This window comes from Homo sapiens, chromosome 8, assembly GCF_000001405.40.
Source record: "Homo sapiens chromosome 8, GRCh38.p14 Primary Assembly".
In the NCBI taxonomy this organism is placed as follows: Eukaryota; Metazoa; Chordata; class Mammalia; order Primates; family Hominidae; genus Homo; species Homo sapiens.
Genome location: NC_000008.11, coordinates 66053696 through 66076168, shown reverse-complemented (window position 1 = coordinate 66076168; position 22473 = coordinate 66053696). Strand labels below are relative to the sequence as shown.

The 22473-nt window shown below is 39.2% G+C and overlaps 1 protein-coding gene across 4 annotated transcripts in view, besides 1 other annotated feature; it reads right to left on the bottom strand.

The window, feature by feature from the left end:
• The window catches only part of DNAJC5B (DnaJ heat shock protein family (Hsp40) member C5 beta), an 86268-nt gene that overhangs the window by 25077 nt on the left and 38718 nt on the right, over positions 1 to 22473 (bottom strand). The window contains exon 4 of one of the 4 annotated variants that reach the window (NR_146171.2): positions 18160 to 19703. The exons of the other annotated variants lie outside the window; for them this stretch is intronic. The gene's annotated coding sequence lies outside the window, so the exon portion shown is untranslated. The remainder of the gene's footprint in view (positions 1 to 18159; positions 19704 to 22473) is intronic. 4 annotated transcript variants of the gene reach the window in all.
• Positions 11661 to 11955: a silencer, noted in NCBI's record as "tiled region #492; K562 Repressive non-DNase unmatched - State 22:ReprW". NCBI's record gives its function as "represses a minimal TATA promoter and a strong SV40 promoter by Sharpr-MPRA in K562 cells {active_cell/tissue: K562}" and the evidence as "EXISTENCE:reporter gene assay evidence [ECO:0000049][PMID:27701403]".

Genomic DNA, 22473 nt, shown 5'->3' with positions numbered 1-22473 from the left:
TTCCACAAGTCCTAACTAACTCTTGGTTTTCTGAACAAATACTGTGACTTCCTTTGTATTCAAATGCATATTTGGCCTCTTTCTAAATAGGGTTTTCCACTTAATAATCTATAGAAATTTTCTTGTGGGCATAAGGCCTTCTCCTCTGTGGATCAGAAAGCAGTTTCTGAGGGACTCTGCTGGAAATTCCACCTGACTCATCTCCCTACTGTGCCTATCATACGTCTATGTAGGAACACACCTTAAGCTTTTGTTTACTGTATTAGTTTAGAACAAATTGTTTCATTTTAAAACAGTAAGTCCAGAAGTAAAGCAGAAAAGTAGAGTACACCTTATAAATCAATCTACATGATAAATGGAACAAATCACATCTATTTTAGGAACTGAACTATTATTGATTAGGAAGTAGATGAATATTTAAGGAGCTCAGCATCAGGATGCTTTACATTACCAAAATATTTAAAAGCATAAATCATGATGTATAATCCATTCTAATCCTAAACTCAGAATAAATTTTTAAAAATCAAACAATGATGGTTCGTGTTAAATTTATTTAACCAAAACTTATTTTCATCCTTTTTGAAAGATATCTGGGGTATTTATAAATTCTTATAGATAGGACCATTGTAGACATGTTTTTTTACATGCAGAATTTATAATGAAATATTTGCTAATAGCATAAAATGCCTTTTGTCATTTTTTTACTTTTATGTTTACTATATTTCAGCACTATTAATATTCCTGGAATTCTCACTCTGGGCCCTGAAATAGGAATTGCAGCATTTCCCCCCCCATGGTTCCAAAGATATCATGTCTAGGCCAATCAAATGAAAGGGCTGTTATTTCTGCCTTGAAAGGAAGAAATCTCCAGGCAGACAGATCACTTGAGGTCAGGAGTTTTAGACCAGCCTCGTCAACATGCCCATCTCTACTAATTAGCCAGGTGTGGTGGCACATACCTGTAATCCCATCTACTCAGGAGGCTGAGGCAGGAGAATTGCTTGAACCCGGGAGGTGGAGGTTGCAGTGAACCAAGACTGCATCACTGCACTCCAGCCTGGGCGACAGCGAGACTCCAAATCAAACAAACAAAAAAACAGGAAGGAAGAAATCTCTGGAAAATGCCTCTTTACATACATTTTCTTGTTTCTAGGGTGGCTTCCTGTCATTTTTTAAACAGCTTGGATCTCTGTCAGCTCACAAGGGCAGATGCACCCAATCCATTTATCACACTCCTAACAATGGAGTTGGCAAATTCGGAGAGCTGGAACACCTCCACTTGTAACACATCCAATTCCTGGTCATCAGCAACATTTTGATTCCTCTTGGCAGATACTCTTGGCTCTGAGGAATCCTCGGGAAGTATGGTGAGCAGAGACAGCTGCCAAAATTCCACAACCGTCAAGGAGGTGGTCGTGCAATGCCTCACCCTCTTGCATGTTGTCCATAGAGCAAGGAAACAACTATAGAATGTAGAGTTTAAGGAAGTGCTTGGAGTATTTTTAAATAGAATAGGCACCTATCCATTGTTAAAGGCATTTGTTGTCATTTCTACATTGATACTTAAAGTGACATAATATTCAACCAGAATGTGAGCCTTTAATTCTAAATGTCTCTACACTCTTGGTCACCTGTCAATGTGGCTATAGCTAATATTAGAAATAGCATTCAATGCCTCTAATTTCCACTTCAAAATCTAATGACAGCTTTCAACTAAAATGCATAGTGAATTTAATTAGTGGCAGATAAGATAAACATGTGGTTTATAGTTATAATTATCTAAAGCCCTCAAGATCTTCCTATTTTGAGGCAGTGACATAATTCTAAGAGTTACAATGTTTTGCTCCATTCTCTTCCTTGCCCCATCCAACACTTCAAGATGCAATCAAACTACTGCTACCTACCACTCTCTACCAGTCTCTGAGTCACCTGAGGCCTGATTCTAACCATGCTGCCCCAGCTCTTAAAATATTTTAATGTCTGTCAATCTCGTGGTTTATATGAGGCTGTTATATATACCGTTTGGATATTCTCTAAGTGCATGTTAGTCCTTTACAAATTTTTACTTTGGTTTTTAAAATTAATTTGTAGTATTTTAAAAATGCATATTCTAGATATGAATTCTTTGTCAGTTATATGTATTGCATATATCTTCTCCCATTCTGGGGCTTTCTTGTTGTTTTACTTTATGGTATCTCTTGGTAATCACAAATTCTTTCTTTTAATTTACTGAATTAACCAATTTGTTCCTCAATTCAGGAAGATATTGTTCTATAAACTCTCTATAACTCTAAAATCTTTATAGCTTTTCCTTTCATATGGAAGTCTATGGCCCATTGATACCTGACATTTTAATGTGCTGGAGGGTAGATGTCTAATCTCACTTACTTTAAATAGATATTCCACTCTTGTAGCACCATTTATTAGGAAAAGAAAATCCTTTCCCTGGATTTCTGGGATCTCTATTCTGCTCCATTGGTCAATTTGGTTATTTCTGGGCCAATAACAGTCTAACATGTGATGCTTTAAAATACGTCTTCATATCTTAAAGAGCAAATTCTGCCATATTGCTGTTCTTCAAGAGTTCTGTGGTTATTCTGGGTCCTGTACATTTCCACATGAATTTTAGAATTAGCTTGTCAATTTACACACACACACATACACACACACACACACACACACATGAACACATGCACATTCACACAACCTATTGAGATTTTTATTGCAATTGCATTGACTCTATAGATTAATTTGGAGATTGACTTTTGTATAGTATGTCGACCTATTTCAATCTTTTTAACGAATTTTAAAGTTTTATCATTTTTACCTTTATGTTCTATGTATATTTTCTTGGATTTAGTCCTGGGAGCTTAATTTTTTGTGGTTTTGACATTTAAAAATGTTCCTAATTATTTATTGCAGATAAAAATAATTTTTTTCTATTTTTATGTTTGAAATAATTGTTGTATGTTGATTTTTTTATTCTTCCAACTTCCCAAGCTCATGTCCAAATTTTATTAAATTATAAATTCTTTTAAATTTTCTACATAGACAATTATATAAGCTCAAGTGATAATTGGATTTTTTCCCTTCGAATCCTTATATCATTTACATTTCTTCCCTTATTGTACTGCCTTGGCTAAGACCCCCCACCCCAAGTACGATGTCAAAAGTGGCTGTAACAGGTGTCCTTCTTCTGAATTCACTATGAGTGAATGGATGCTGAATTTTACCAAATGTTATTTCTGCACCTATAGAGGAGATATCTTGTTTCTCTTTTGGCCTGTTAATGTGATTGATTGAGTTTTTAAATGTTAGATGAAGCTTATGTTTCTGGGATAAACTCAGTTTGGTCATTATGTATTTTTAAAATTTATTGCTGGGCTTGGTTTTCTAATATGTGCATTAAACTCTATAAATTTTCCTCTAAGTGCTATTTTGACTGCATTTCACATCTTAATATGTAGCACTGAATTATAGATATTTTATAATTTTAATTATGGTTTGTTATTTTTAGCCACTAGTTGTTTTAAATTATACCTCCTAATTTTCAAACATACGGAAAATTTCCAGCTATTTAAAAATTTTGCTCTTTAACATAATTGCATTGCTGTTAGAGAACATATTTGGTATGATTGAAATCCTTTAAAATTTGAGACTTGCCTTATGTCTTATTATTTTTATAAATGTTACATGTGTGTTTGAAAAGGGTATATATTCTGTTCTTATTGGGTACTTTGTTTTTATAGTTTTTGATTTTGTTTGTTAATTGTTTTGTTCAAATCTTCTATATCCTTAGCCATTTTATTGATTTATCAAGCCAGATGTGTTAAAACTTTCCACTATGAATGTAGGTTTGCAGATTTCTCCTTAAAGTTCTGCCAACTCTTTGTTTTGTATATTTTAGGCCATGTGTTTTAGAAGCCCATAAACTTATAACTGTTATACATTCTTGGTGAATCAATTTTTTATTATACTTTAAGTTCTGGGGTACACGTGCAGAACATGCAGTTTTGTTACATAGGTACACACGTGCCATGGTGGTTTGCTGCACCCATCAATCCGTCACCTACATTAAACATTTCTCCTAATGTTATCCCTCCCCTACCCCCCCACCCCCTGACAGGCCCCACTGTGTGATATTCACCTCCCTATGTCCATGTGCTCTCATTGTTCAACTCCCACTTATGAGTGAGAACATGTGGTTTTTGGTTTTCTGTCCTTGTGATAGTTTGCTGAGAATGATGGTTTCCAGCTTCATCCATGTCCCTGCAAAGGACATGAACTCATTCTTTTTTATGGCTGCATAGTATTCCATGGTGTACATGTATCACATTTTCTTTATCCAGTCTATTATTGATGGACATTTTGGTTGGCTCCAAGTCTTTTTATTGTGCATAGTGCTGCAATAAACTTACGTGTGCATGTGTCTTTATAGTAGAATGATTTATAATCCTTTGGGTATATACCCAGTAATGGGATTGCTGGGTCAAATGGTATTTCTAGTTCTAGATCCTTGAGGAATCGCCACACTATCTTTCACAAGGTGGAACTAATTTACACTCCCACTAACGTGTAAAAGCATCCCTATTTCTCCACTTCCTCTCCAGCATCTGTTGTTTCCTGACTTTTTTAATGATCACCATTCTAACTGGCATGAGATGGTATCTCATTGTGGTTTTGATTTGCATTTCTCTAATGACCAGTGATGATGAGCATTTTTTCATGTGTCTGTTGGCTGCATAAATGTCTTCTTTTGAGAAGTGTCTGTTCATAACCTTTGCCCACTTTTTGATGGGGTTGTTTGTTTTTTTCTTGTAAATTTGTTTAAGTTCTTTGTCGATTCTGGATATTAGCCCTTTGTCAGATGGATAGATTGCAAAAAATTTTCTCCCATTCTGTAGGTTGCCTGTTCACTCTGATGCTAGTTTCTTTTGCTGTGCAGAGCTCTTTATTTAATTAGATCCATTTGTTAATTTTGGCTTTTGTTGCCATTGCTTTTGGTGTTTTAGTCATGAAGTCTTTGCCCATGCCTATGTCCTGAATGGTATTGCCTAGGTTTTCCTCTAGGATTTTTATGGTACTAGGTCTTACATTTAAGTCTTTGATCCATCTTGAGTTGATTTTTGTATAAGGTGTAAGGAAGGGGTCCAGTTTCAGTTTTCTGCATATGGTTAGCCAGTTTTCCCAACACGATTTATTAAATAGGGAATCCTTTCCCCATTGCTTGTTTGTGTCAGGTCTGTCAAAAATCAGATGATTGTAGATGTGTGGTGCTATTTCTGAGGCCTCTGTTCTGTTCCATTGGTCTATATATCTGTTTTGGTACCAGTACCATGCTGTTTTGATTACTGTGGCCTTGTAGCATAGTTTGAAGTCAGGTAGCATGATGCCTCCAGCTTTGTTCTTTTTTGCCCAGAATTGTCTTGGCTATGCGGGCTCTTTTTTGGTTCCATATGAAGTTTAAAGTAGTTTTTTCCAATTCTGTGAAGAAAGTCAGTGGTAGCTTGATGGGAATAGCATTGAGTCTATAAATTACTTTGGGCAGTATGGCCATTTTCACAATATTGATTCTTCCTATCCATGAGCATGGAATGTTTTTCCATTTGTGTCCTCTCTTATTTCCTTGAGCAGTGGTTTGTAGTTCTCCTTGAAGAAGTCCTTCACATCCCTTCAAGTTGGATTCCTAGGTATTTTATTTTCTTTGTAGCAATTGTGAAAGGGAGTTCACTCATGATTTCGCTCTCTGTCTGTTATTGGTATATAGGAATGCTTGTGATTTTTGCAGATTGATTTTGTATCCTGAGACTTTGCTGAAGTTGCTTATCAGCTTAAGGAGATTTGGGGCTGAGACAATGGGGTTTTCTAAATATACAATCATGTCAACTGCAAACAGAGACAATTTGACTTCCTCTCTTCCTATTTGAATACCTTTATTTCTTTCTCTTGCCTGATTGCCCTGGCCAGAACTTCCACTGCTATGTTGAATAGGAGTGGTGAGAGAGGGCATCCTTTTCTTGTGCTGTTTTTCAAAGGGAATGCTTCCAGTTTTTGCCCATTCAGTATGATATTGGCTGTGGGTCTGTCATAAATAGCTCTTATTATCTTGACATACGTTCCATCAATACCTAGTTTATTGAGAGTTTTTAGCATGAAGGGCTGTTGAATTTTGTCAAAAACCTTTTCTGCATCTATTGAGATAATCATGTGGTTTGTGTCATTGGTTCGGTTTACTTGATGGATTATGTTTATTGATTTGCATATGTTGAAGCAGCCTTGCATCCTAGGGATGAAGCCAACTTGTTCGTGATGGACAAGCCTTTTGATGTGCTGCTGGATTCGGTTTGCCAGTATTTTATTGAGGATTTTTGCATCCATGTTCATCGGGGATATTGGCCTGAAATTTTCTTTTCTTGTTGTGTCTCTGCCAGGTTTTGGTATCAGCATTATGCTGGCCTCATAAAATGAGTTAGGGAGGATTCCCTCTTTTTCTATTGTTTGGAATAGTTTCAGAAGGAATGGTACCAGCTCCTCTTTGTACCTCTGGTAGAATTTGGCTGTGAATCCATCTGGTCCTGGACTTTCTTTGGTTAGTAGGCTATTAATTACTGCCTCAATTTCAGAACTTGTTATTGGTTTATTCAGGGATTCGACTTCTTCCTGGTTTAGACTTTGGAGGGTGTCAAATTTTTATCATTATGAAGTATCGCTCCTTATCTGTAGTAATGCTTTCTGTCTTCATTTTAATTTTAATAAAGCTATACAGCTTTCTTTTGGTAAGCATCTGCATAGCATCTTTGCCCCTCCTTTTATTTTCAAATTTTCTGTATTCTTAAATATTAGATATGTCTTTTGTAAAAACCATATGATGTCAGTTTTTTATTCAAAGTGACTTTTTTCTTTTAATTGAAGCATTTGGTCTATATTTATTTTTAATGTAATTTCTGATATTTTTCAGGTTTAGTCACCGTATTCTACTTGTCCCTTCTAAAATATACTCATATTTCTTTTCCCTTTCCTTTCTTGCCTTCTTGTTGGATTAATTTCTCATTACTCTACTTTTTTTCCCTGTTGGTTTAGAAATTATATATTCTTTTATCATTCTTCTCAAATCCACTGGGGATTAATTCACAGTTTTCTCTAAAAAAAAATATGTCTTTATTTCAACTAAATTTTGAAAATTTCCCTGGATGTAGAATTGTAGGTTATCAGTTACCTTCTTTCACCATATTGAAGACTTTTGTCCTCTGTCTTCTGGCTTCTGTTACCTTGGTTGGAAAATCAGCTGTAAGTCTAATTGTTGTGCTTTAAAAGTAATATGTATTTTTTCCTCTGGTTGCTATAAAGGCTTTACACATGTTTAGATTCTGGAAGTTTTCCTGTGATGTGCCTGGGTATAGAGTTCTTTGTCTTTATTTTACTTGCTTTTATTGAGTATATGTGGTTTAATATCTTTCATGAACCTGGAAAATCGACATGTTGTTTTTTCAAATGGCTTTTCCTCATTCTCTTTCTACTCTCCTTTTTAGACTCCACTTGCTTATATCTAACTTAATAAATCTTCTATGTTTTTTATCTTTTTCCATTTTTCATCCTTTTGTAATTCTTTCTTGTTAATGAAACTTCGTTTTTATCTTGTTAATAAATCTTCTATTTTTAAATCTTTTTTCATTTTCCATCTTTTTGTAATTCTTCTTTGGTATTTTCTTCTAAGCTATCTTCTAGTCAACTCTCTAACCTGGTAAAGGTTTTTTCCTTTGGTGATTGTATTTTCTGTTGTAGAGTTTCTGTTTCTTTTGCAAATCTGAAATATCCCTTTCCATAATTTTCAGGATTTTAAAAAAAAATTCTCAGTCTCATATTTTATCTTCTTGGTCATAGATAGTTATTTTAAGATCTGTATCTGATCATTCAAATGTCTAAAATTCTCATGGCTCTGTTCCTATTATTTCTGCTAAATCTTGTTCATATTGTCTTGATTTGTATGCTTATCTCTGTGTCAAACATTGCATTAAAACATATTTAAGAAATAATTTGAGGACTAAGAAGATATTATCTTAAACCAGAAAGTGTTTTTATTTCCTATTTTCAGATTTCTGTGGTCTTTGCAAAACTAAGATCATCTTAATCCAATATTAAAGATCAAGGTTTCCTTGGCTACCCAGATGACTCGAAGTTCAGTTGCAGTCCATACAAGACTGGTGTTCCTATTATTTATTTCTCTGTAACAAGCTACATAAAGTTTAAAGTTTAGGAACTTAAAAGAACAAGCATTTTATTTAATTGCTCAAATGTTGTCATTGAGCAGAACTTGGTGGGGACAATTTTGAGCTCTGCTTGGCATTGGTTGAGGAAACTTCATTGGAGCTGATAGATATGCTCCCAAGATGGCTTCACATATATCCCAATAAGTTGGTGCTGGCTGTGGTTGGGAGCTCAGCTAGGGCTGCTGTCTGGGGAACTCTGTTCTCCATGTGGCTTTTCCTCATGGCTAGATGAGGCTTCTCACAACAAGATGGTCTTGGGGTAGTTAAATTTCTGGAATGATGGCTAGCTTAAAACAAAAGCAGAAACTAGTAGACCTTTTTAATATTTAGGCACAGCATCACTTCTGCCATATTCTATGGGTTAAATTGGGTCAGAGAGCCATCCCAGATTCATGACTTACAACACAAGGACATGAAAACCAGCAGGCATGGTTGTTGATGACCACCAAAGTAATTGTCAACCACAGAAGATTTCCTTCTAATTTACCCTTTCTCCTGGATTACAGCACTTCAGAATCTCAATAAAATTGCAGGACCTTCATCCTTGTTGGGCTAGTGTCCAAGTTTTCTCCTCTTTTGTCTGTAGGGCTGTTTTTTAAAGTCCTGCTTAGCCTTTCAGCTTCTGTTCTCCAAGATCAGGGCCCAGTTAGCAGTAATTCTTTACTCGCAAATGCTTTTAAAATATGTGGGGGTGGGGGGCGGTGGGAAGTGGGGGAGGGTGGGGGGTGTGTTCTTTCAGTTTTTCTAGTTGCTGTCAGCAGGAGGAACAATTGGTACAAATTACCTAGTCAGTGAGAACCAGGAAACTCCTGATGATCACTTATGTCTTCGTTGTCTTCTTTCAACTATATGTTAATCCCACCAAAGGCCTTACATGCTGTTACACATATGAGCCAAAGACAGCCTTTGTGTATTGGCCCCTAGCTTTTTAAAAATTTCTTCACTGCAGGCTGAAACCCAGTAGCTCAAAAGCCTGCCAGCACCAAAGTCAGGTTTTTATACATCTGTTTATGTATTTATTCTTAAATATTTTTAAAACTTCAATAGCTTTTGGAGTACAGGTGGTTTTTGGTTACATGGATGAATTGTATAGTGGTGAAGTCTGAGATTTTAGTGCATCCAACACCTGAGTAGTATACATTGTAGTTTTTTATCCTTCACCCCCTTCTACCCTCCCCCTTCTGAGTCTCCGAAGTCCCTTATGTCACCCTGTATGCCTTTGTGTACCCATAGCTTAGCTTATAAGTGACAGCATACAGTGTTTTGGTTTCAATTCCTGAGTTATCTATTTAGAATAATGGCCTCCAGCTCCATCCAAGTTGCTGCAAAAGACATTATTTTTCTCTTTTTTATAGCTGAGTAGTATTCCATGATGTATATATATCACATTTTCTTTAGCCACTCATTGGTCGATGGGCACTTAGGTTGCTTCTGTATCTTTGCAATCATGAATTGTGCTGCAATAAGTACATGTATGAACATGTCTTTTTGATATACTGTGTTCTTTCCCTTTGTGTAGATATTCAGTAGTGAGATTGCTGGATCAAATGGTAGGTCTATTTTTAGATCTTTAAGGAATCTCAATGCTGTCTTCCATAGTGGTTGTACTAATTTACATTCCCACCAGTAATGTATAAGCATTCCTTTTTCACCACACCTGTGCCAACATCTATTGTTTTTTGACTTTTTAATAATGGTCATTCTTGCAGGAGTAAGGCGATACCTCATTGTGGTTTTAGTTTGCATTTCCCTGATGATTAGTGATGTTGAGCATTTTTAAATATGTTTGTTGGCCATTTGTATATGTTCTTTTGAGAAATGTCTATTTAACACATCCAATTATCTAAAAAATAGCCTGACCATCAGATTTCCAGCCACGTAGAGCCAGTCTGCTTTACCTACCCTGCAAAACCTCACTCCACTTCTGCTGGCTTTTGATAAGATGGAGCTTTGTGGTTATAAGACCTCAAGCTTTTATAGTTCTTTGGAGCTCTCTGACTCAAAAGACCTGCCATGCTGCTGGATGACATAACTAGACCCGTAAGCCCCTCTTTTGACCCCCTCTTCCTTAGAAGTTCCCTCACCCTCCTCTCCCAGATGGTGCCCCTTCACTGAAAGCCCCTGGGCAGTCTTATGCTATGAGGGCCCCTCTCACACAGCCATATCGAAGCACCCAAGCACCAACAAAGCTTATGATGTGTTATTGCCTCTTGTGGTCATATCTTTTCTCTTGATCAGCCCCTAAATCCTTCAACCCTACAGCCCCCTACAACCACTTCATGCACTTGCACCTAGTACAACTGCCCTCCCACAAGAAGCTTGAGTACAGTATGTGGCTGAGAATGCTAGCAGGGCTTAGGGACTCAGGAGCCACTGGGCCAGGATTAGTCTCTGTCCTTCATAAGGGACAGAATAGAAAGCTCGGGGCACCATTTGGTTTCAAATTGCAGATTGTGATGCCAGTGCTACCCCTGCTGTGTAATTATTTCTAAAACACCTGCTACCATAGTACATGATTCAAGTACTTTGACCAGCAAGGCCCCACTGAGGACACACTGAAGGCCACATTACACAATCCTATGATTTTCTCACATTTGCAGATGGAATATCTGAGCAACTCACCCCAACCATTGTTTGAGTGTTCTCTCATTTTCTGGGATGCAGTCACCTTTGTGATTCAAGACAGATGGCATGAGATAACAACACGAACCGTAGATGATGATCTGTTTCAGAGAATTGGTCTTTTCCCTCGTACAGAACCATATGGAGAGTCAAGTGCTGACCTCTAGTGGTAGTGGAGTTGGTGAAACCACTGTGTCTCAATCATCGCTTGAAAAGTATTTCCCCACATTTTTACTAGAATGTGTATTAACTTGACTTTATGAGGAATTATACTTGATTTTTTAAATGTAAGGATTAAAAGTACAACAATACTTAATCTTTTTTTAAGGTAGCTTTCTGGTCACTACAGTTTTTTCCTATGGCTGATTAAGAGCCAGTTCATTACCCTCTCTAATAAGGTAGAAGGAACTGGGATATTTGTGCAAACACAGTAGATAAAATACATGTCCAACACCAATCATAAGGCACTACTTTAGGGGATGAGGACCTGAACTTCTGACACCAGTGGGTCACTGACAGCTTTTAGCACGCCACTAAGATTTCTGTGTACTGTATAATATAATCCTTTTCCAACAACCTACCAGCCCACAGCTCACTCAGAATCTGTAGGCTGCATACAGCTCAAAATATCTGTATCTGGCCCAAGCTCCCAATAAAAGTTTCTGGGCATCTAACTTTATTATGTTTCCTGGGGGAAAATTTACATTTGTGGTTTTTCTTCAGGCCAGCAATCTCTACTGAACTAGAAGGTCAAGGGAGGATAAGACTGCGGTGTAGGAGAAATGGCTGTATAGACTTCCTCCGCCTGATATCTTGTCTCCTACTTTCAATAGCAGCTCGCACCCCTGGTTCTAGTCAAAGCTCTCAGCAAGCACTTGCTCTCTCTAGGCCTTCCTCCTGCCGGCTTCTGGCTTAAGTTCCAGTGACAAAGCTCCAAGCAGGTCCTGGTAGTTTTCAGAAGCAGTCCCTGCCAATAGCTCTTTTCAGGCTCCCAGTGTCTCTAGTCTTTCAGTTTTCTCAGTGCAAAAACAAACAGCATTATCCTCTGATCTTTACGTCAAGCTCTCACTTTCTTATTCTTCCTAAACCCATTTTTCCCCAAACTCACTTTTTAAACCTAATAGGACCTATTTTTCTAGACTGGCAGTCTCACTGACAATTTCCTTAACTATACAGGCTGAATCTTGTGTTCATGCACTTGAATGCTACTCAAACCATCTTACTCAATTTCTTAATCATTCTGATTTCCTGTTTCACCCCCAAGAAGATGACATTAGCTACCCACTAATTCCACTCCTGTTTCTCTGCTGGCCAGCATTGCTGGAGAAGATTGCACAACCATGCAAACCAGAGCCAGTAAATTTAAAGAGTTTACTACATAGAGTAAAATTTAATAAGGTTGAAAAGATATGTCTCAAAGACAAGCAAAACAAGGGAGAGTACAGTGAGTGGGATAGATGAACTTGAGCATAGGGTTCATATTAATGAATACAATGAATATTATATGTATATTCATCTCTCATAGTATAATATAAATAATTATCCAATACTAAATAGATATTGAGTGAATGAGTGAGTGAAAAAGTTACGGATCGTAATGATTCTGGCACCTAGGAATGACTGAGATTGGCACTGCATGAAGAACTAAGAGGTTCGATCAAGTGAAAGACTTGACGAGGGACAAGGGAGGTTATGCAGCCCACCGGAAGACAACTCTTCCAAGTGGGCTGTGAGTATGGCCTCACATACTCTTCTTTTCAGTGGAAGGTTTTAGAACTCAGGAAGCAAATTAGTGCTTGATAGAGATTAATGTCAATTAATCTTGTGAGCTTGAATCATCACTCTGCCTTGTAAATATTTACAATTCTTCTATTAACTATGCATTCCCCTGACATTTACACTTTATTCATAAGCAGTCTCTGTTTTCACCTGTAATTGCTAATAAAGATGGGTAAAAGCACCACAGATTGGGGTTGCCACAGATTATTATGGAAATGGCACTCTTTTCTGCTTCTTTTGAAAACAGAATTTGCCTCACTTTGGTCTACTCTGAGGCAACTCATTTCTGCAGAACCGGAAGATAATTTCTAGAAAATTCCATGTGAAGTCAAATGAAAAAGAACAGTCAACTGAGTCTTCTGCTGTCATGTGAATCAGAATACTTGGTACCTTGTCAACAAGGAGGAATTAAGCTTATTCATGAGACACAGAGACCCAAGTGCTAATGTGCAAAACTAGTTCACTTTGATTTTTTGTTTGTTTGTTTTTTAGAGTCAGGGTCTCACTCTGCCACGTAGGCTGGAGTGCAGTGGTGCAATCATGGCCTACTGCAGCCTCAAACTCCTGGGCTCAAGAGATCCTCCCACCTCAGCCTCCCAAATAGCCAGGACCACAGGCACATGCCACCAAGCCTGTCTATACGTTAATATCTATTTAGGGTTTTGTTTTGTTTAGAGACAGGATCTCGCTCTGTCACCCAGGCTGGTGTGCAGTGGCATGATTATAGCTCACTGCAGCCTCAAACTCCTGGGCTCAATTGATCCTCCCACTTCAGCCTCCTAAATTACTGGGATTACAGGCAACAGCCACCACAGCCAGCCTCACTCCAATTTTGTGGCTCTCTAAAAAGCCAAGGAAGAGCTAGATCTTTGCATGATTTCTTACCCAGCATTTTGTTAGGCTCTTGCACCCAACATGCTAGAGAAACCAGTCAGCCTCACTTTGGGGCATCTTAATCTTGTTTCCAGCTCACTTCAAAAATGTATGTATTGGTGTAAATAAAAACCAATGTTTATGTTACAAATGAGATTTTAAACTCTGAAGACACATTCTCTAAATTGCATATCTGGCTGTTTTTTTAGTTTTCCTTTTCTTATCCCCTAACTACTTTTCACTTGAAGGTCCCAGAATCATACAAAATGCTCTGGATCCCAGATGGAAGCTAGTATCTTTCCTTTCTGATCTGCCCCTCCTCTGTTTATTGGGTCAGTGAATAACTCCCTGTTCAGCAAAGTGACCAAACTAATTATTTGAGAAATGGTCCTGAAGAAGCTGAGACTATAATCGAGGAGAAAACAGACATTTTCCAGACATTTTCTATTTTCTAATTCTTTTTTGCATTCAGCAAATACTAGCATGGTGCTAGGGCTGAAAGTACAGTGAGAGACCAGGCACAGTGTCTGCCCTCAAGGAACTGATGGAATGGGAGAGGCAGAAAAGCAGCAAGGGAACTACTGTCTGTGAGGCTGCAGTGCTCTGCTGGAACAGCGCAGTGGGCCAGGAAGCAAAGGAAAGCCCTCAGGAAGGGGCTCGGCTGCGCCCCCACAGGCTGCCACTCCCCGAAGCCACCTGAATGCCTCCTTGTCATCACTCTCGGTGGGATGTTTGGGTTTCTTCTGTCCTCCCCACCCCCAGTTCAATTCTTTTTGCTTAGACACCTCTTAAAATAATATTGAGAAACTGTGTCCCTTCAACATTTTTAACTTGGCATCTAAAAATTTTTATAAGATTAAACAGATGCAAAGAATGTAATTTTCAGCATATTATAAACATCAGCATGTTAAAATAAAACAGTTGTAACATTCTTTTAAATGTATTCAATGGAATCTAAATGTCACATAATCTAAGTACCCCTTATACACGCGCACACACACACACACACACACACACTCTCTCTCTCTCTCTCTCTCTATCCATTCTTTCTCATTCACATACTCAACACTTCTTGGCACGTCACCCTGCACCCGTGCCCTAGCTGAGTTTGGAAACTGCCATTATGTATGGTTGGTTCTCAGGCCCTTGTATATCCTTTGTAGCACCCAGTACCCATGTGCCAAACCCTGGCTAAGCATTTTGCATGCATCATCTCATGTAATCCTCCACAACCCTCTGAGATTGGATCATTATCTGCACTTTACTTATGAAGAGAATGAGGCTGAGAAAAGTGAGTTGAATTCAGGTCTTTCCGAATACCTTGCACTCATTTTTAGATATGGGATCTTTCTGTGTTGCCCAGGCTGGAGTGCGGTGGCTATTCACAGGCTCAGTCATAGCATACTACAGCCTCAAACTCCTGGGCTCAAGAGACCCTCCCACCTTAGCCTCCTGAGTAGCTAGGACTATAGGCAAGCACCACCACACTCAGAAATACCCTGTGCTCTTAACTGCTACATTATATTTAGAATACACTTCAATGGAGTGATTTTAGTGTTTATGTGAACATCTCAAAGAGAATGTAAAACTTCCAGCATACTCCTACCTAACACTCCCTACCCTCTTCTGCTTTTCTTCCTAGCATTTAGCAACATCTGATATGTTGTGTGTCTTACTTATGTGTTCATTATTAAGCCTCCCCCTTCCCCTGGCCCTATTTAAAACAGGTTTAAGGAAGCAGGTCTGTTTTGTTCACTGCTATTTTACCTAGGACAGTGGCCAACACAGAGGCGGTGCTCAATACATATTCGTTGAATAATGAACCAGACTTGCTGGTATAAAGCCATTGATAGTGTCAGAGACTCTAGACATACTGGTGGTTGCTACGTGCTCTGATCAGCCTTCTTGGCTTCTGCTATCATTAGGTAGCAGTATGGATCAACAATCTAATGACTTTGGAGTGAAGGTCCTTTATGTGCCAACAAGAAAAGAGGAAACCTAATCACACACCCACAGTTCTTGCTGAGCAACAAACAGTAAAATAATACACTTTATTTACCCAGTTCAACACAGAATCAGGTGGACTTGCTGCAGGAATACGGTAGGGCTGCTCTTTGAGTCATTGTCGCCCATTGTTCACTGCACGGGGTTAGGGCACATCAGGATGTGTTTGGAAAGCTGGTAGCAGTGGCCTCCCAGAAGTCCCAGAGAGCTGAAGAGGCTTCCAGAAAGGAATACAAGCCACGGCTGTGACAGCCCCAGCTGGGTACGTCTAAAGAACCAGTGGTACAGCCTGACACAAACCTCTCTTAGTCTGGGGAGGGAACTGTAGAATCTTCTGGAAAAGAATGCATCTTAGGAAAGAGCCAGGTGTGATGACCTTGACACAAGAGGAGGGGGGTCTGTTGGATGAGATCTAGAGTCTAAGCAGAGCGACATTACTGCTAGTGTCTGGCTCACCCCCTGAGCATGTGTCTGGGTCCTAGAGAAAAACAGAGCTACAAGGAAAACTGGAAGGAGCTTTTCTACCATGCTTTGAACTCATAGGGGGCTCTAACAGAGCATATCACAAAGAGGAGGAAAGGAGCCATCCACTATGCCCAGCCTCAATCCTGCCAGAGGTACAGCCCAGCAGGCTTTGGTGTTCCCTCGGCTCTCAAGGTAAACAGCAGAAGAGGCTTCTGGGCCTGAAGGAGCGGTCGGGACTTGGGGACTGAGAGGTTGGCAAGGAGCACCTTCTGTGCCTACCGTGCCTGGCAGGGTGATGCAGCTGAGTGGCAGGGGAGCTGCAGCAGCAGAGTCTAGCACCCAAGGTTATGTCTAGCAGTGACTGTGGACATGCCCACACAGCAAATGGCAAAGCAGCATCAGCTACAGGGTGGCAACATGGCTTGGTGGACAATGCCACTACATGGAGATGAACTGCCTCCCACGCCCTGGGAGACTTCCGCAGAGGAGACCCCTAGAAGAAGGACGGCAGAGACTCTTCAGTGAACCCAAGTTCTCAAGTCACTTTAAAGGGTCTTGAACCTGAGTATTGAGGTTATGTAGAGAAAAAGCTTTGAGTTTCTTATTTCAGCAGTCTCCCATCTCCCCAATTGTTCAATCATCCCACTGTCCACTAGTGACTCTCCCTCCTCCTCAACTCCTACACTAGCTTTCTAACTCAAAATTCCTGTTGGCTCTTGGAGCGATATCTAAATTAGGTGGAAAGGCAAGACACACCAGTTTAAAGTTCAGGCAAATGTATGAATGATGGATGACTTCTTCTAGGCCTATCTGAATTTAAAAGATTAACTCAAATAAGTCTCCTTCAGACAGCATGATAAGGGGAGACTTAAGAATTTTAGGCAGTGGGAGAAGCAGGTAAAATATTTGCTTATCTCATGCAAACACTGGTCAGATTAAGTGACATGATCTAGCAATGATAAAATTGGATTAAATGAGCCTTAGACTTCAACCCCTTTGGGATGATTATGCTCTGCAATACTAAAGGCAGATTTATTCCATAATGAAGGCCCTGGATGAGACCATACCATGAGTTTCACCCTGTGATATGTCACTTTTGACTTGGATCACAAATTCATCTTATGCTAGATAAATGGTTTTTAAACAGCAGCACCAAAGGGCAGGATAATTTTAGACTTGGATATTTTTTCATCCACAGTAGTACCTGATATTTTCACTGTGCTTTGCCACAAAGAGCTTGGCATCCCTTGAAAAAAAAAGATCTCATTTCTCTTCACAAAATGTCAATAAGGCAAGAGCTTCAATACCTGATGGATTGGCACAGTAAAAGCCTTCCTCTTGTCACCTTTCCCAGCTGTCATTTGAGGTAGCTGGGGACTCCATTTTATCAGCTGACTAATGAAGTATGGTTGAATTTCAGATGAAAGAGGAAAAAGGTGCTTTATGCACAGGAAGACTCTATGATAAAGATCTACAAATTGACACAGGAGGGACTGAGATAGGTCTTTGAGGCTGCTTTATGGTTAATTCTGTAAAAGAATGAAGAACTGGAGATACTGAAAATTTCTTTCCCAACTTTGTCCCCTTTTTTAGAGAACACTGTCCCTTTCCCGTCCAGTAAAAGTTGGATCACACCTCCTTGCTAAGTGGTAGTGGGAAGTTGTGATTCCCTGAATCAGAGCTAGTTAGACATGAATGGGCATCTGATCTGGCTGGGTCCATGAGATCTTTGCTCCAGGAGTTTGGGATCAGGACATGCAAATATGGAAAAGGGATCAGGAACCAAGATTGTTTCCCTTTCCCCACCTCTATCTACCTTTCTGGACTACAGGGTTTCCCTCTCCGAGAAGCAAAAAGTTGGTTTTAAAAAGACAGCCTTTAAAGAAAAAAAGACAGACTTGATGGGAAACTACCTGAATATCTATCAATAGGAAACTATTTAAGTCATGGGACATCCATGTCGTGGAATACTACATGGTAATAAGAAAAGAATGAGAAAACCTTTCATGAACTGATCTTTCCTTGGAATTATCTTTAAGATATACTGTTAAGGGAATACAAAGTACAGGCTAGGAGCGAGAACACACCACCATCGAGGGTGGGAGGACACACACCACTCACGAGGAAAAGGATAGTCTTTTGTATTTACCCATATTTCTGCTTTCTCCCTTGTTCTTTCCTTCTTCCTGATCGTCTAAGATCCTTTCTTTATCATTTCCTTTCTTTCGAAGAACTTCCTTTAGCCATTCTTTAAGAAGAGATCTGCTAGTGACAATTCTTTTAGATTCCCTTTATGTGAGAACGTATTTCCCCATTCACTCGTGAAATATAGTTTCACCAGATACAGAATTTTCTGTTGACAGTTCTTCTCTTTCATCAGTTGAAAAATCTTTTGTCACTTCCTTCAGGCTGCTGTTGCTTTAGATGAGAAATATGCTGCCATTCAAATGGGTGTTTGGCCATGCATTGTTTCTCCCTGGCTGCTTTCAAATTTTTTTCTTTGTCTGTAGTTTTCAGAAATTTAATTATAATGTTTCTTGGCATTGATTGCTTTGGGTTTATCCTGTCGGAGTTCTCTCAGCCTCTTGAATCTGTAGGTTTCTATTTTTTGCCAAATGTGGGGAATTTCCAGCCATTACTTCTTTTAGTACTCTTTTAGTCCCATTGTTTCACTCTTCTCCTTCTAGGATGTCAATGCTATAAATGTTGGATCTTTGTTATTGTCCCACAGGTTTCTGAGACTCTGTTTTCAGTTTATTGTTTATCGGTTGTTCAGATCGGGAACATTCTATTGATCTGTCCTCAATTTCTATTCTCTGTCATCTCCACTGTACTATTAAGCTCATCCAGTTAGTTTTATTATTTGTGTTATTTTTTGGTTCTATAGTTTCCATTTGGTTCTTTTTTGTTAATTCCTATTTCTTCACTGAGAATTTCCATTTTTTTTTACTTGCTTCAAGAGAATTTGTCGTTACTTGTTGAATTTTTTATGATGGTTACTTTATTTATTTATTTATTTTTTGAGACAGTCTTGCTCTGTCGCCCAGGCTGGAGTGCAGTGGCGCGATCTCGGCTCACTGCAAGCTCCGCCTCCCAGGTTCACGCCCTTCTCCTGCCTCAGCCTCCCGAGTAGCTGGGACTATAGGCGCCTGCCACTAAGCCCGGCTAATTTTTGTATTTTTAGTAGAGATGGGCTTTCACTGTGTTAGCCAGGATGGTCTCAATCTCCTGACCTCGTGATCCGCCAGCCTCGGCCTCCCAAAGTGCTGGGATTACAGGCGAGAGCCACCGCACCCGGCCTATGATGGTTACTTTAAAATGCTTTTCAGATAGTTCCAACATCTGGTTCATCTCAGCACAGGAGTTAGCTGATTGTCTTTTCTTATTCAAGTTGTGATTTTCTTGCTTCTTTGTAGGATGGGTCATTTTGTTTGTATCTGGATATTTTGGTTATCATGTTGGGAGATAATGGGTTCTATTTAAGTTGTTTTATTTTAGCAGGCAGCCCCCTTTAGGTTTAGCATGCAGGTTCTAGCCTACTTTTGTGAGTGGTTCCAATAACAATCTACTTTTCAGAGTCTTTACGGTGCTTCTTTGGTTTGTTTGGTTTGTCTCCCGCTTCTGAGGCTCCCAACACTCCTTGTTGGTAGTAGCTGAGGAGCCAGGTGCCTTTAGGTGAAGGGATTTTCCAGCCTGTGGGGACAAAAGCATTCCTGGGCTGGGTGCTTGTGGTGGAATCCCCCTACTAATTTCCTCTGTCAAGTGGGGTCTCTAGGTGAGAGAGAGGAGTCCCAGACTGGTGGTGGGAAAAGACAGCATTTCCCAGCAAGATGTTGATGGGGAGCTTTCAATTGGTGCCCCTTGCTGTTTCTGTGGGGCTTGTCTAATGTTGTTGGCAGGACTTCTGTTCAATCTGGAGGAAGAATGAGACTACCTGGATGCCTTCTTCTGCTAGATTGGGTATTGGGAAAAGCTGGGCCTGGGTTATCTTTTGTTGGGTTGGGGTGGAGGGGATTATAAAATGCCCTGCTGCTGTGACCTGGGATTTCTGACCAGTTAACCTTTCTCTTTCTACCTTTCAGAGTTCTCTTTTGGTTGTCTCTTGTGTTATTTCCAAGGTTTTTAGTTGTGCTTAGCAGGGAGAGAAAAGTCTACATCATCTTTCTTAGACTGGAAGTTCTGAATATATGCTTATTTATTTATTTATTCCAAGACACAGTCTCACTCTGTCACCCAGGCTGCAGTACAGCAGCATGATCTCGGCTCTCGGCTCACTGCAACCTCTGCCTCCCAGGTTCAAGCGATTCTCGTGCCTCAGCCTCCCGAGCAGCTGGGATTACAGGCATGCGTCACCACGCCCAGCTAATTTTTATATTTTTAGTAGAGATGGGGTTTCCCATGTTTGCCAGGCTGGTCTCAAACTCCTGACCTCAAGTGATCCATCCACCCGCCTTGACCTCCCAAAGTGCTGGGATTACAGGTGTGAGCCACCGTGCCTGGTCTATATATGCTTATTTAGACATAAGATCTCTCTAGAAGGGTATACAAAGAATTGATAATATTGTTTCCCCTGGGAAAGTGACTTGGGTGATATGAGGTAAGAGAAAGACTTTTTTATATACCTGTTTTCCTTTTAATCAAATGAAAGATTATCTTTTTAAAAATAAAATGCAAAAGAAGAAAGAAGTCTTCTAACTCAGCCTTGTTTTCAAGAGCACAGCCAAATATTATAACAGTGGCCAAGTGGTGTATAGATTCAACAGCTGGTAATTTTATTAAATTTCACTGACTTTTAATTCACTATATTGTGACTGCTTTGATCCAGATCCTACAATATAAGAATAATATTCTCAGTGGATTTCCAGCTTACTCATACATTTTGAATAACTTGCAGAATACAAATGTGTAATTTAGGGAGAAGTAGATGCTTTTGGCAGCATACTAGTACCCTAATCACCTGAAAAAATAATATTTGTATGACATTAAAACAAAATTAATAGCAAGACACTAATTACATGAATAGACTTTATGTTGTAATTATTAAACTTGCAAACAACTCAGCATAATTAATGCCTTAATTAACATATGACCTGAAATTTTGGCTTACAAAATTAATAAAGACAATTAAGAGTCACATTTGTAAAGTAAAGTGGATTTTAAAAATTACAAGGAAGTTGGATGTCACTTTTTTCCCTCCCCATTTTGGGGAGCATTTTTGTAGATATTACAAAAATTAACTGACAATGCAATTATGGCATTCCCTCCCACCTCCCCTACCCCAGCACAGTGTCCCAGCCTGAAGCCTTCAGTCAAATTCAGTGATCTTCAGCCAAGGACGTCCACCAACAGGTGTGGGCAGCTCCCAGGCACGCGCCTCTGGATAGGTCTAGGGCAAAATGAAACAGCAAAGACTTTTCTCTCCCTAGCACCTTAAGGGAAATATAAACTAGAAGATTGATATTGAGTTTTATCAGACTCTACCATTTTCATGTAACTATTTGGTTCCAAATTGCAGTTCACACCATTGCCATTTTTTCTTCAAAACATGCTTCTTAAAGGCATTTCAGTTCCTACAATTTGCCACATGGTGAAGGTTCCAACCCTAACCCAAAGAATTTCCCATTAATAGATAAAAATAGAGACTCAATAAGTATTAGTGGGCTAAGGATTTGGGAAAAAATCAGATCTGGAATTCTACCTCATTCCTTATGCCAAAATAAACTCCAATTGGATCAAGATTTAGTGTCAAAGCAAAATCATAAATGTGCTAGAAGAAGATACGGTGAATATTTTTATAGTGTTGTAATTGCGAGAGGTCTTTTAACCATAATAGTAAAACAAAAGTCATAAATGACTAACAAATTTGCCTAATTTTAAACTTCTGTACAGTAAGAAAAAGCACTTAGGTTTATAAAACCTAATTCAAGACTAAATCAAGAAGTAACTGATTAAAATCTGAAAATTTATTTATATTTTGATTATTTTTTTCCTGTAAAGGCATAGCTTTATACCGCATAAGAAAATAAGTAATTGAAAATATGTGTTATAATATATGTATATTAAGTATAAGGAATAAGTAAAAGAACTTACATGTTCAATAACAGCTTGCAATGTGACTAAATAAATTACAAAATAACCGTAGGCCACAGCCATTAAAAATCAGGCTATTTAATAACATCAAGATATTTTCATGATAAGACCTTGTTAAAAAAAAAAAAAAAAGGGTAGTAGGCCAGGCACGGTGGCTCACGCCTGTAATCCCAGCACTTTGGGAGGCTGAGGCGGAAGGATCACCTAAGGTCGGGAGTTAGAGACCAGCCTGACCAACATGGAGAAACCCCGTCTCTACTAAAAATACAAAATTAGCCGGGCATGGTGACAGGCACCTGTAATCCCAGCTACTCGGGAGACCGAAGCAGGAGAATTGCTTGAACCTGGGAGGCGGAGGTTGCGGTGAGCCGAG